At 43.9% G+C, this 13,094-nt stretch overlaps 1 long non-coding RNA gene and 1 other non-coding gene across 7 annotated transcripts in view; both read left to right on the top strand.

Annotated features, from left to right (window-relative positions):
- The window catches only part of GPRC5D-AS1 (GPRC5D and HEBP1 antisense RNA 1), a 94,773-nt gene that overhangs the window by 32,058 nt on the left and 49,621 nt on the right, over positions 1-13,094 (top strand). Inside the window, exon 2 of one of the 6 annotated variants that reach the window (NR_149063.1) lies at positions 6,976-7,114. The exons of the other annotated variants lie outside the window; for them this stretch is intronic. This is a non-coding gene — a long non-coding RNA (GPRC5D and HEBP1 antisense RNA 1). The remainder of the gene's footprint in view (positions 1-6,975; positions 7,115-13,094) is intronic. 6 annotated transcript variants of the gene reach the window in all.
- LOC124903100 (small nucleolar RNA SNORD88) lies at positions 12,270-12,360 on the top strand. The gene has a single exon (XR_007063637.1). It is a non-coding gene; the product is annotated as a small nucleolar RNA SNORD88 (small nucleolar RNA).

Raw genomic sequence — 13,094 nt, forward strand, 5'->3', positions numbered from 1 at the left:
TAGTAAAAGTGCACATTTAGCTGATTTGGGGGCATTATTTTCCTTTTTTTTTTTTTTTTTTTTTTTAAGACAAGGGTCTTGCTCTGTCACCTGGGCTGGAGTTCAGTGCTGCTATCAAAGCTCACTGCAGCCTGAAACTCCTGGGCTCAGGCATAACTGGAAATACAGGTGCACACCACCATGCTCAGCTAATATATTTTTTTTAATTAAAAAATTTTGGCTGGGTATGGTGGCTCATGCCTGTAATCCCAGCACTTTGGGAGGCCAAGGCTGATGGATCACAAGGTCAGGAGTTCAAGACCAGCCTGGCCAACATGGTGAAACTCCATTTCTACTAAAAATACAAAAATTTGCCAGGTGTGGTGGCAGGTGCCTGTAATCCCAGCTGCTTGGGAGCCAAGATCGCGCCACTGCACTCCAGCCTGGGACAGAGCGAGACTCCATCTCAAAAAAAAAATTTTAGACTGGGTGTGGTGGCTCATGCCTGTAATCCCAGCGCTTTGGAAGGCCAAGGTGGGTGGATCTCTTGAGGCCAGGAATTCGAGACCAGCCTGGCTAACATGGCAAAACCATCTCTACTAAAAATACAAAAATTAGCTGGGTGTGGTGGTGCACACCTGTAATCCCAGCTGCTCAGGAGGCTGAGCCACGAGAATTGCTTGAACCCAGGAGGAGTCAGAGGTTGCAGCGAGCCAAGATCATGCCATTACACTCCAGCCTGGGTGACAGAGCAAGACTCTGTCTTAAAAACAAAAACAATTAAAAAATTTTTCGTGAAGACAGAAATTCACTATGCCAGACTGGTCTTGAACACCTGGCATCAAGCAATCATTCCGCCTCGGCCTCCCAAATTGCTGGGATTACAGGTGCGAGCCACTGCACTCAGCTGTACGATACATTTTAAAATGTTAAACACATTTAAGGAATCTAAAAGGCAGCAATTTTAAAAGGTGGCTGTAAGTATCACACATTCCTCCCACCGAGAGGTGGGGTCTATCTAATTCCTCTCCACTTGAATCTAGGCTGGCTTTAGTGACTCTCTTGTAACCAATAAAATGTGGTGGGAGTGAGGATGCGTGAATTCCAAGGCTAGGTGAAAATTAGCCTTGCAGCTTCTGCTTTGATCTTTTGGAATACTTGGTCCAAAGGCTCTTCCTAGGACACAGCTGCTGTGTTCTGAAAACCCCAAGCTACATAAGGGACCACATATAGATTCTCTGGTCAATAGTACCAGCTGAGCCCAGCCTGCTAGCTATCCTTGACAAAGCACCAGGCACGTGAATGGAAAAGCCATCTGGGAAATTAATCCTCTTGTTCCAATTCTTCAATTGAAACTCCACTGAGCAGAATTTATGTTTATGTCTGTATGCAAGAATTATTCACATTGCTATCAGTTTTCCATATGTTGACTTATATTTCTACAGAGTTTTAAAATAGCCTAGTCAAAATCAAAGGCACATATCCCTATAGGATCAAATAATCCCAGAGGCACCAGCATTCCAATGAAGGGATGTTCATTCCTAAGTCTTAAAATTGTCCTTATAAAGGTCATAATTATGCTGCTGTATGTTCCCAACATTGCTGCAACACATAGAAGAGAACATTATAAAATCAGTTTGAGAAATAAAATTCGAGATATTGCTACATCTCATTTTTCTTTCAAAGTCACAATTATTACTTTTCAGAAGAAAATATGAAGCTTGAAAGAAAAGCATTTCAATAAAAGGTCTATTTTCTTTTCAAATCTCTGAATCAATAATTGAATTAAACCTGGTGAACAAAGAAGAGAATAACTGATTGTATTTAATTCTTTTTTAAAATTTATTATTATTATTTTTTTGAGACAGGGTCTCATTTTGTCATCCAGGCTGGAGTGCAGTGGCATGATCTCAGTTCACTGCAGCTTCGACTTCCTAGGCTCAAGTGATCCTCCCACCTTAGCCTCCCAAGTAGCTGGGACGACCATGCCTGTCTAATTTATGTATTTTTTGTAGAGATGAGGGTTGCCATGTTGCCCAAGCTGGTCTTGAACTCCTGGGCTTAAGTGATCACCTGCCTCGGCCTTCCAAAGTGCAGGGATCATAGGTGTGCCCCACCACGCCTGGCCTGTATTTAATTCTTATACTGAAGAATGATTTAAAGACATCATGTATATTATGTGGGTTAAGATTGAAGAAAAATTTCAGTGCTACTATCATAACTGGTGTATTACTATTGTTAACAATTGCTACAGCCTATTTGTGTGAATTTTTAGGATTTCAACTTTGACTGGATTCTAAAAAGAAAAAAACTAGGTTGAACAATGTATCAGATGTACTTATTGCCTCAGGTAGTCCACAGAATGAATTTATAAATGCTTTAGCATATCTGTCCACTACATAAAAATCATGTCTACATTTCTGTTTTGTGTTATTTTGGATTTTCATAATCTATATAAATATCAATAAAATAATATGTGATATTAGCTTTGCTCTGCTTTTATTTTACATTGGTAGCAATGGTAAATATTATTTTGTGAAACGTTTGAGGGGTATGTGTATGTATGTGTGTGTGTGTTTGTCCTGGGTTGAATGTAAAATTATTTCTGACTGGGGACTAGGGTAAAAGAAAATTTTGAAGCCAGGCGTGGTGGCTCATGCCTGTAATCCCAGCACTTTGGGAGGCTGAGGCAGGCAGATCACCTGAGGTCGGGAGTTCGGGACCAGCCTGACCAACATGGAGAAGAAACCCCCTCTCTACTAAAAATATAAAAAATTAGCTGGGTGTGGTAGCGCATGCCTATAATCCCAGCTACTCAGGAGGCTGAGGCAGGAGAATCGCTTGAACCTAGGAAGCGGAGGTTGTGGTGAGCTGAGATTGCGCCATTGCACTCCAGCCTGGGCAACAGGAGTGAAACTCCACCTCAAAAAAAAAAAAGAAAATTTTTTTTTGAAAATACTAGTCGCATCAAATGAGCACTGGCTTGGAGTCTGACTTAATTTTGGATGCCTGCTCTCTGATCTTGGGCAAGTTTCTTGATTTTCTGAACTTAAACAAATGTTTCCTCTTCCCTGTGGCATATTTACAGAAAGGAAAACCATCAATGATGGTTTTCAGGTAATTTGGTCTGAGCTGAGTTAAAGGGTTTTGAAAGCAAAGTGATGATAAAAACCATATCTGAGGTTAAGAAAGAGTGCAACTTACTTAAGGATTCTAACAAGTTTATTTTATTGTTTTTATTTATTTATTTATTTTGAGATGAAGCATTGCTCTGCTGCCCAGGCTGGAGTGCAGTGGCGTGATCTCGGCTCACTGCAACCTCTGCCTCCTGGGTTCAAGCAATTCTCTTGGCTCAGCCTCCTGAGTAACTGGGATTACAGCCACATGCCACCACACTTGGCTAATTTTTGTATATTTAGTAGAGATGGGGTTTTACCATGTTGGCCAGGCTGGTCTCGAACTCCTGACCTCAAGTGATCCACCCGCCTGGGCCTCCCAAATTGCTGGGATTACAGGCGTGAGTCACTGCACCCAGCCAGGATTCTAACAATTTCAAAGGATTTTTATATGTAATTGTCAACATGCAAATTATTATGTTAAATTCAAGTGTTAAGTCTACATATTAATGTAGCCCATTTATTTACTCTTAGACTCTCTCCCTAGAAATGTATCGTTAGTGTTCATTCATCTGCTTGTTCTTTCTTTTAATGACTTTTTTTGAGCATCTATTTTGTGCTGAGTGCTGTGCTTGTGCTTGAGATATTACAGTGAACAACACTCAGGGCCCCCTACCTGTGTTTAAGTTGCTTACCTACTGGGTGGGGTGGAAGGTAGGCAGGTAATGAAAACATCATTAGACATTCAGCGTATTCTGTGGGTTCATAGGCGCGAGGTTCAGAGAAGACCTTTCAGGAGAAATGTCTAAGTCAGGTCAAGTGAGGTGTAGGAGAGCTCTGGATGGAGGAAGCAGCCTGCACAATGTCCACAGCAAGGACGACCACAGTCTCTTACCCAAATAACAAGTGGGTGAGTGTAGTGGGAGGATGGATAGGTGAGAGAGGAGGAGGAGGCCCTGTAGCCAGATTATCCAGGGAGGGTGTGGCTGTTTTGAGGGGTAGTATGAATGTTATTCTGAGAGTAACTGTCTTTATTGTATTTAAGCTATAAAGTGCATTACAGTTAATATTCACTCATTCATTTACGCAACACATTTTTAGGGGCATCCATAGCTGCTCATTGTGCTTAATGCTGTGGATATAGTGGTAAACAAAGCATGCACAGTTCTTGGCCTCAACGAGCTTACAGTTTGGTGGGAGAGCAACCAACAGAAAAATAAAACGTGTGCATATATAATCACTAGTGTGAAAATGCTGTAAAAGATGTTGTGGTAGAGAATAATAGAGTGAGGGTCCCTCTGACAGGTTGGGTGAGGAGGGCCTCCCTGAGTAGGCACCATTTAAGCAGAGACCCAGAGGATACGAAAGATCCAGCTGTGCCCATGCAGAGTGGGAGGAAGAGCATTCCAGGTGGAGAGGGCAAGATAAGCAGGAGCCCTAAGATGCCAAAGAGCATGGTGTGTTTGAGAAATAGAAAGATCCACTGTATCTGCAGCAAGGAGGGGAGTAGCAAAGAATGAGCATGGAGTAGGAAGTGGGCATCAGATGATACAGAGAGCTTGAGTCCCAGGGAGAGGAGTCTGATGCAACAGGAAACCGTGAAAAGGTGTTAAGCAAGAAAGTGACAGCTTCTACTATAAAGATCAATCTGCTTCAGACTGTCTAATGCACGATGGAACACCAGGCATTGAGAACGGATTAGAAAAGACCAGGGTAGGAAGCAGGAGACCATCTCAAGAGTCCGGGTGAGGCATGATGGTGGTTATTAGTCCACCAGGGTTGGGTGGAGTGATGGAGAGAGACAATAAGATTCAAGAGACACTTTGGAGGTGGAATCTCTGTCTTGCTCGTGGTTGGGAGACAGAGAATGAAGAATGGCTCCTGGAACCCTAGATCTGCTCCACCAGCCCAGATTTTTTGCATCTCAGTTAGTAGCAAAGCCATTCTTCTAGCTGCTCAAACCAAGAATCTTGGTGTCATCTTGAGTCCTCTCTTTCTTTCATGTACAGTCCACCAGGAAATCCTTTTGGGTCTACCTTCAAAATACCACGGACTCTGACCACTTCTCACTACTTCAGTGACACCATCCAAGTCCAAGTGACCATCATCTCTTCTCTGCTTGACTGCAGGAAACTCCTAACCGGCCGTCTGCTTCTGACCTCATCCCCCAGCCCCAACCCCGACCCCTTTATAGTATATGATCAAAAGAGCAGCCAGAGGGATTCTTGCAACAGTGGGTTTGATTTTGTCACTGCTCTGCTTGAAATCCTACAATGGCCTTCTCTATTTTATACAGAAGAAAAGGCAAAGCCTCTGAAGTGACTTCTAGGTCTTTACCAGACCTGCCCACTCCTGTCACCTCTCTGTGCTTCCCCTGGGCTCTCTGTTTCAGCCCCTCCGACCTCTAAGTTCCTTGACCACACAGGCCCGCCCTGTCCGACAGCCTTTGCGCCACCTAGGATGGGCTTCCCTCAGGTTGCGTCTGGCCAACCCCTCACTATTTTCAAGTCTTTCTTCTCCAGGAGGGCTTCCCTGGCCACATCAGCAGGAACTGCACACCACCGCCTCCATACTGACCTCCCAAACACTGCCCATTCTCTTTGGTCTACTTTTAAATTTTGCCATTGCACTTACTACTTTGTAAGATATAATATAATATACTATTAAAATTTACATGTCTATTATTTGTTATCTATATACCCTACTCTACAAGGGTAAGGATCTTTGTTTTGTTCGCTTATAAACGGAATTGCCTAGGACAGTGCTTGGCATACAGGAGAGGTTCAATACATGTGAAATGAATGAACATGAGAGGGAATCATGAATGTGTTAAGCCAGAGGGTGGGCCAAACACCACAAACAACGAGGTGCAGGCCAAAGCCTGGTTAATAGGGAGGAATTATAGGCAGGGGTCAGCAAAATGCATGTGGCCTTCCAAGTTCTCACTCCTGGCCAGGCAGGGCTAGAGGCACTGTAGGTTTGTGCTCCAGGAGACATCCCCACTCTTTCCCACCCATCCCTCCACTTTACGTAAGAGAAGTTAGGGGGAGACAGGAAACAGCTGGCTGCCTGATCAAGTGCAAATGTGAGGTTCCCAAGGAGGGGGATGACACTGTTGCCCAGAGGAATATTCTGAGCTCAGATGATAGTCACATAGGGGAGAAAGATGATGCCTGAGGGCCGTCCAGCTAACAAGGAAGATGTCTGTCTATTCAGGGTGATTTTGTGTTTTGATCTGAGCACGTAGTTGAATGGTAGTGTTATTTAGAGATATGGGGAAGATGGAGGCATGAAAAGGAGGGTGGAAAAGTGTGCAGTGAGAGTTCAGTTTTGGACGTGCTGTTTGAGGTATCTGCAAATTCCTTGTATGAATATGTCAAGTAGGTCACTGGATATATGCATCTTGAACATCTGGATTTATTTCTGCATTTTTGTACTTTTCTTCATGTGCCAACTTCCTGTTGGCATCCTAAGCAGGTACCAGGCTGGTGCCACAGTCAGGACACCCCTCTCCATCCTCATTCCTCACCTTTCTTTCAGCAATTTCATGAATTGGGAAACACATTCATTCATTTATCCATCCCACAATCATACACCAAGCTTTCACTATATACTGGTACACAGCTGGGAACTGAGGCTACAAAAATAAATAATACTAAATATCAGCACTCAAGAAAACCACGTCTAATTGGGGCTGGTAAATTAAACAGTTGAGATTTATGCACTGTGAAGTATGTGTAACTTGAAGAAGAAATTAATATTTCCCTGACCCTATCTCTCTTCCTACTAGAAAAAGACCCCAAAAAGAGGGTGGATCTTATCCATTCCTTAGAAGCCCTTACAAATGGCACTTTTACAACTTTTGTTATGTTTATTTTAGGTCAGGAGCAATGGCTGACGCCTGTAATCCCAGCATTTTGGGGGCCTAATCGGGCAGATTGCTTGATGCCAGGAGTTCGAGACCAGCCTGGCCAACACGGTAAAGCCGCGTCTCTACTAAAAATACAAAAATTAGCCAGGTATGGTGGCACACGTGCCTGTAATCCCAGCTACTCGGGAGGCTGAGACACGAGAATCATGAGATTAACTTGAACCCAGGAGGCGGAGGTTGCAGTGAGCCTAGATTGCACCACTGCACTCTGGCCTGCGTGACAGAGTGAGACTCCGTCTGAAAAAAACCCAGAATTTTTGTTACGTTTTTGTATCAATGAGGAATTGTTCAGTGTATGTCTCAGCAGTGAACCCATTTCTTATTTCCGCATACCTGAGGGTGACATTTTGAAAGGAGATGAGATGAAGAAAAAAATTAAGAAGAGAGATGGGCTGTAAATAAATAGGAGTCAATAGGTCATGGATGGTCACAGAACCCATGTGCACGATTTTCATGGTCATGGATGACCTGCTGTTGGGAGTGGGCACAATGACATGATGCAGCCAGTAGAGGGTAGAGAACCCTGTCCTGGGGACACCAACATTTAGGGCTGGGCATGGAGAGATGCGCTTATGAAAGAAGTGGGGAGGTAGTCTGAGGCAGGTGCACCTGGAGAATGGCAGGTCACAGGTACCAGAGGAAGAATACCAGGGAGAAGGAGAGGTCTCAGTATTGAACAGTACAGAGAAGCTGTTCAGCCTGATAAAGGCCAACTATTCTGGACTTCATGATGATCAGTTTCAGAGAAAGTAAATGTCAATGAGTGGAGGAAATGAGGGGGAAGGATGTAAACACTCTGTGTAAAGTCATTTGTAAGACAATTTATAGAGGTAATGAGAGAGCTGAGATGTACCTGGAAAGCAAGATTAGATTGAAGGAAGATGTTTTTTGTTGTTCTAATTAAAGAGATGTGAGCATGAATTTGTGTTGAGAAGGAGGAGGCAGAGACCAGGGAGAGACTGAAATAACAAGGACAGAGTAGATGGTAGAATGAAATTCCTGAGCAAGTGAGAGACCTGGCCCCCAGCACAGACGACACAATGAGCTTTGGATGGAAGGTGGGACACCTCATCCTCTGAGAGAGGGAAGGAGGCAAGGGTAGTGTTCCCCAATGACCGAGAAGCCTCTTCTCCTAATAATTAAATCAACTCTCGTAAGTCCACTTCCTCCGTGGAGCCTTTGCAGATACATCCAAGTGCTGAAGCTTCCTTTTGATTCTTAGAATGGTTGAGGCTTTGCTGGGCTCTGCCTCCAGTTTAGGGCCCCCCTCATAAGACACATTCTGCTCACACCGGCAGACACCCTGGTGTGAATCCACAATCTGCTAGCCCCTAAGAAAGGGCTCTAAAAAGTAAGCAGAGACAACAGGATCACAAACATACATTATATATTCAGAAGTATGTCATAGACATTATGTAAGAAGGGGCAATAGTCTTGTGTTTGTATTGGTGGCATAAGAATTTCTTTTAGCTGAGTTTTACTATATGAGAGAAAACAAGGGCTGCTAATTTGACAAGCGGCAAATAGGTTGCTGCTGGGTATCTATGCTGCTTCTGGAGTTTTGATCTCATGGAGTTTGTTCATCTAAATTCCAGGCAGTGGCACATACCCTAGGGACACAGGGATTATCTCACTGCCACTCTGGCTGAGCCACGGAGTAAATTATACAGGGATGAGGGAACACCCACCCAGCATACTCACTGGTAGATTCACACCCTGTCTTATTTCCTTTCTTGCCAGCCAGGGAAACCAGCCATTGAACTAAGCATTTAGTGTTGTACTGCAGAGCAGATAAGAGCATGGGCTCAAATTCTGACTCTGTCACGGATCATCTGCGTAGCCTGGAGCATGCTAATGAGCCTCCCAAAGCTGCCCCAGTTCATCTGTACATGGGGTAGAGATGACAGTGCTAGTGAACACCTCATAGGGCTGTGTAGAATACATAAGGTAGTCCATGTAACAAGTTTGCACAGTTCCTGGGACGTGGTGAATGCTCAATGAATATTAGCTATCAGTAGCTCTTATTTTTTTAAAATTCCAGCCAATCTACATTAATACAACTGAGCATCTATGGTGCACACATCCTTTATGCTATGGGTGTGGGGTGGGGATTATAAATCATAGAGAAAAAGGAGTGTTCCTGAAGAGACCAAGGAAGAATTCAAAGACGTTTGAGCTGGACTCTAAAGGGATTGGGGATTGTAGGTATGGGAGCAGTGTGAGTGAAGGCATGAAGGAGGGGCGGTGGGGAGGCTGCCAGGGGAACCAGCAATAATTCCAGTGCTGCTGGAGGGTAAGGAACCCAAAAGGGAGCAAGAGGCAGGATATGAGAAGAGGCTGGGGTTTGAGCCCACTCTTGAAACGACTTTTTTGGCTGGGCGTGGTGGCTCATGCCTGTAATCCCAGCACTTTGGGAGGCCGAGGTGGGCAGATCACTTGAGGTCAGGAGCTCAAGACCAGCCTGGCCAACATAGTGAAACCCCATCTCTACTAAAAATACAAAAAAATTAGCTGGGTGTGGTGGTGCACGCCTGTAGTCCCAGCTACTCGGGAGGCTGAGGCAGGAGAATTGTTTGAACCGACGAGGTGGAGGTTGCAGTGAACCGAGATCGCACCACTGCACTCCAGCCTGGGCGACTCAGTGAGACTCCATCTCAAAAAAAAAAAAAAAAAAAAAGACTTTTTGATGAGGGTCTAATTAATTCATTGCCAAGGAGAGAGGAGGTCTTTTTACCCGAAGTTTGATTATGCAATAGCTCTTCATTGCCTACACAAATTTTTGCCATACCTTCAGCCCATTCTGGCATTTCCACCTTACATGGTTTGATTCTTGATTCTGAATTTGCGGATATTGTTTGGGTCTGTCCCCAATTCCTCTAGAATAATGTTGCTATAGAAACAAAATTACTTCTAAGGAAAAAGGCTAGAGCTAGTTAGAAATATAAATTCAAAGGCAAGATCCATGGCATTCAATCAACTATATACCCACCAATGCGGCATGCTATGAAACTTTAATTACTGTGCTCAAGATCAAAGTAACATTACTCAGGAGTGGAGAAGCCAAATGTAATTAAGGAGGTCTTTCTTAAACAAGTGATGACCAACTAACTCCCTGAGCTCAGCCAGGCCTTCCACTGTATTTATATACAGTCACCCAGGGCCCTTAAACACTCACATGAGCATGAGAATGTGGTGTTGTGCTGTGGGACATCCAGAACAAATTTTACTGGGTGAGGCTCACAAAACATACAAGGAATATTCATGCCTCGGGAAGATGGCTTCTGGAGGAGGGAAAACATCCTTATATATGCTAATCTGCAGAGGCAGCAGCTTTATTTATTTATTTATTTATTATTTATTTTTTTTGAGACAGTCTCGCTTTGTCACCCAGGCTGGAGTGCAGTGGTGCGATCTTGGCTTACTGCAACCTCCACCTCCTGAGTTCAAATGATTCTTGTGCCTCAGACTCCTGAGTAGCTGGGACTACAGGCACATGCCACCACACTTGGCTAATGTTTGTATTTTTAGTAGAGACAGCATTTCACCATGTTGGCCAGGTGACTCTTGAAGTCCTGACCGCAAGCAATCCACCCGCCTCTGCCCCACAAAGTGCTGGGATTACAGGTGTGAGCCAACGCGCCTGGCCGAGGCAGCAGCCTTAAGGCTGTGGTCCTGAGCATTAAACCTAGAGTACAGTTTAGATTTTATTAATATCTGTATTCTCCTGGTTACTGCTTTCCAATTTACAATCTAAAATATTAGCTGTATGCTCTAATCCAGGCCCTAGAGAGGAGTGAGATGGGGCCAGAGGGTTTTTCCATCAGTGTATTTTGGGAAAGATACTGACAAGAGGATGACTGGGAATCAGGAAAAAAGATTGCTTTACTAATCCACAGATGGACAATTAGAAATCCTAGTCTCATTGGTTCTGTTTTTCATTCTTAAGTCCAGAACAAGGATAAACTTCCTTCATTTTCCTAGCTCCTAATCCCTTTTTCTCTTAATTCACTCTATCACTATCATCCAGTCACTTGCTATGGCTTCGCTGTGGGTAGGGGACTGAAGATGCTTCCTCCCTTCCTCATCTTGACCATGCTCCACTGTTTTGGGTTTTCAAAGTGGGAGAGAGGAGAGATGGGGGAAGCAGGAGACATCATGAGGGGAGGCCGCTACTGCTCCTGAGCACTAGCTCATATGCTTGGTTCAGAAGTGAGAATAGGCCGGGTGTGGTGGCTCATGCCTGTAATTCCAGCACTTTGGGAGGCTGAGGCGGGTGGATCACTTGAGGCCAGGAGTTCGAGACCAGCCTGGCCAACATGGTGAAACCCCCGTCTCTACTAAAAATACAAAAATTAGCTGGCCATGGTGGCACATACCTGTAATCCCAGCTACTTAGGAGGCAGAGGCAGGAGAATCACTTGAACCCAGGAGACAGAGGCTGCAGTGAGCTGAGATCACGCCACTGCACTCCAGCCTGGGTAACACAGTGAGATTCTCTCAAGAAAAGAAAAAAAAAAAAAAAAAAAAAAAAAAAAGAAGTGAGAATATAGAATTGAAGACTATGATCCTCTGCAATCTGGCCTCAACCCATCTCTCCAGCTGTTTCCCATCTTCCCAAACTCTTGACCTCAGGTATACGCATCTTTACATAGTCTCCTTGCAAAAGACACTGTTGATCAGCTACCTCAGAGCCATTCTAAATATTCTTCTTCCTTGCTGCTCCTCACTATAGAGGCTACAAAACCCAACACACACTCTCTCTTGCAGCTATGGATGGCCCTGTATGTTAGTTTTGGCCCATGAGATAAAAGTAGAACTCTGATGGGGAAACTTTTGGGAAAGCTTCTGTTTCTTCATAAAATGGGACAGATGCAACTGATACAGCCTGTCCTCATCTCCCTAATTTCCTGCCTTAAACATGGATGAGATGGCAGGAGCTGCATCAGCCATCTTGCAGCCCTGAGGGAGAGAGAAAGGCAAGTGCAGAGACATCAGCATTGAGTACTGAACCTGTCTCTGGATTTCTTGCTATGTGGGAAAAGAAAACCTTCTTGGCTTAAGCTACTGTTGGTTTTCTGTTACAGTTTCATGCATTCTTAAATGATAGATCCCTGAGCTAGGTGCTGGGCATACAATGGAGAACAAAGCAGGTATGGGGCTCCTCCTTATCAAACTTACAGTCTTGTGTGAGAGACAAAAAAAAAAAAAAAAAAAAAAAAGAGGAAATGAATAAGTTAAAAAATTACATTCCATGATGTCCAGCACTGGGCTCTGATCACTCCGGAGGACACAGTTTTCCCCAAGACCATGGCTACCTGGGGATCTGAGAGAAAAAGGAAAATAATTATACAGTGGTTTGTATTATGAAAAAAGCAAAAATATAATGGTATGATGGAGAACTATAGGGGAGGCTGACTCTATTTTAGCTAGAGGGGCCATTGAAGGCCTCTTTGAAGAGGAGGTAGTTAGGATCTGTAGGATGAGAAAACCTGGCCATTTGAAAAGGAAGTGAAAAGGGTTTTAGGCAGACAAAACAGCTAGTGCAAGGGCTCTAGGGCAAAAAAGGGCTGTGTGTGTTCAAAGTCCACTGTGGCAGAAGGGTATTAAGGGAGAGATTGGAAAGAAAGAAGTAGTCAGAAGGGGCCAAATCACACAACGCCTTGCAGGTCATAAAATGGAGTTTGAATTTTAGTCTAAGTGCAAAATAAGAATTTTAAAGCAAAGATCCATTTGGAAGTTGTGTAGAAAATGTGTCCAAGGGGGCAGGAGCAGAAATGTGGAGACCAATTAGAAGGCTGTTGCAGGACTTCAGGCAAGAATGATGGTGATACATCCTAAGATGGTACCAGCAGAGATGGCTTCAAGATGATTTAGGACTTGGGTCAGTAGCACTTACTGATGTAGTGGTTTGATACACACTGATTACCTTCTTCCTTTTTTATTCTCTGGCATTTCTCCTATATAACTAGCCACTTTTAAACAATATTTGTCGGCTCTTTTCTTCTGCTTGTCTGTAAATATTAGGGTTCCTGAGTCCTTACCTAGATTTTCTTCTCTTCTTACTCCTG

This window comes from Homo sapiens, chromosome 12 (genome assembly GCF_000001405.40).
Source record: "Homo sapiens chromosome 12, GRCh38.p14 Primary Assembly".
Classification (NCBI taxonomy): Eukaryota; Metazoa; Chordata; class Mammalia; order Primates; family Hominidae; genus Homo; species Homo sapiens.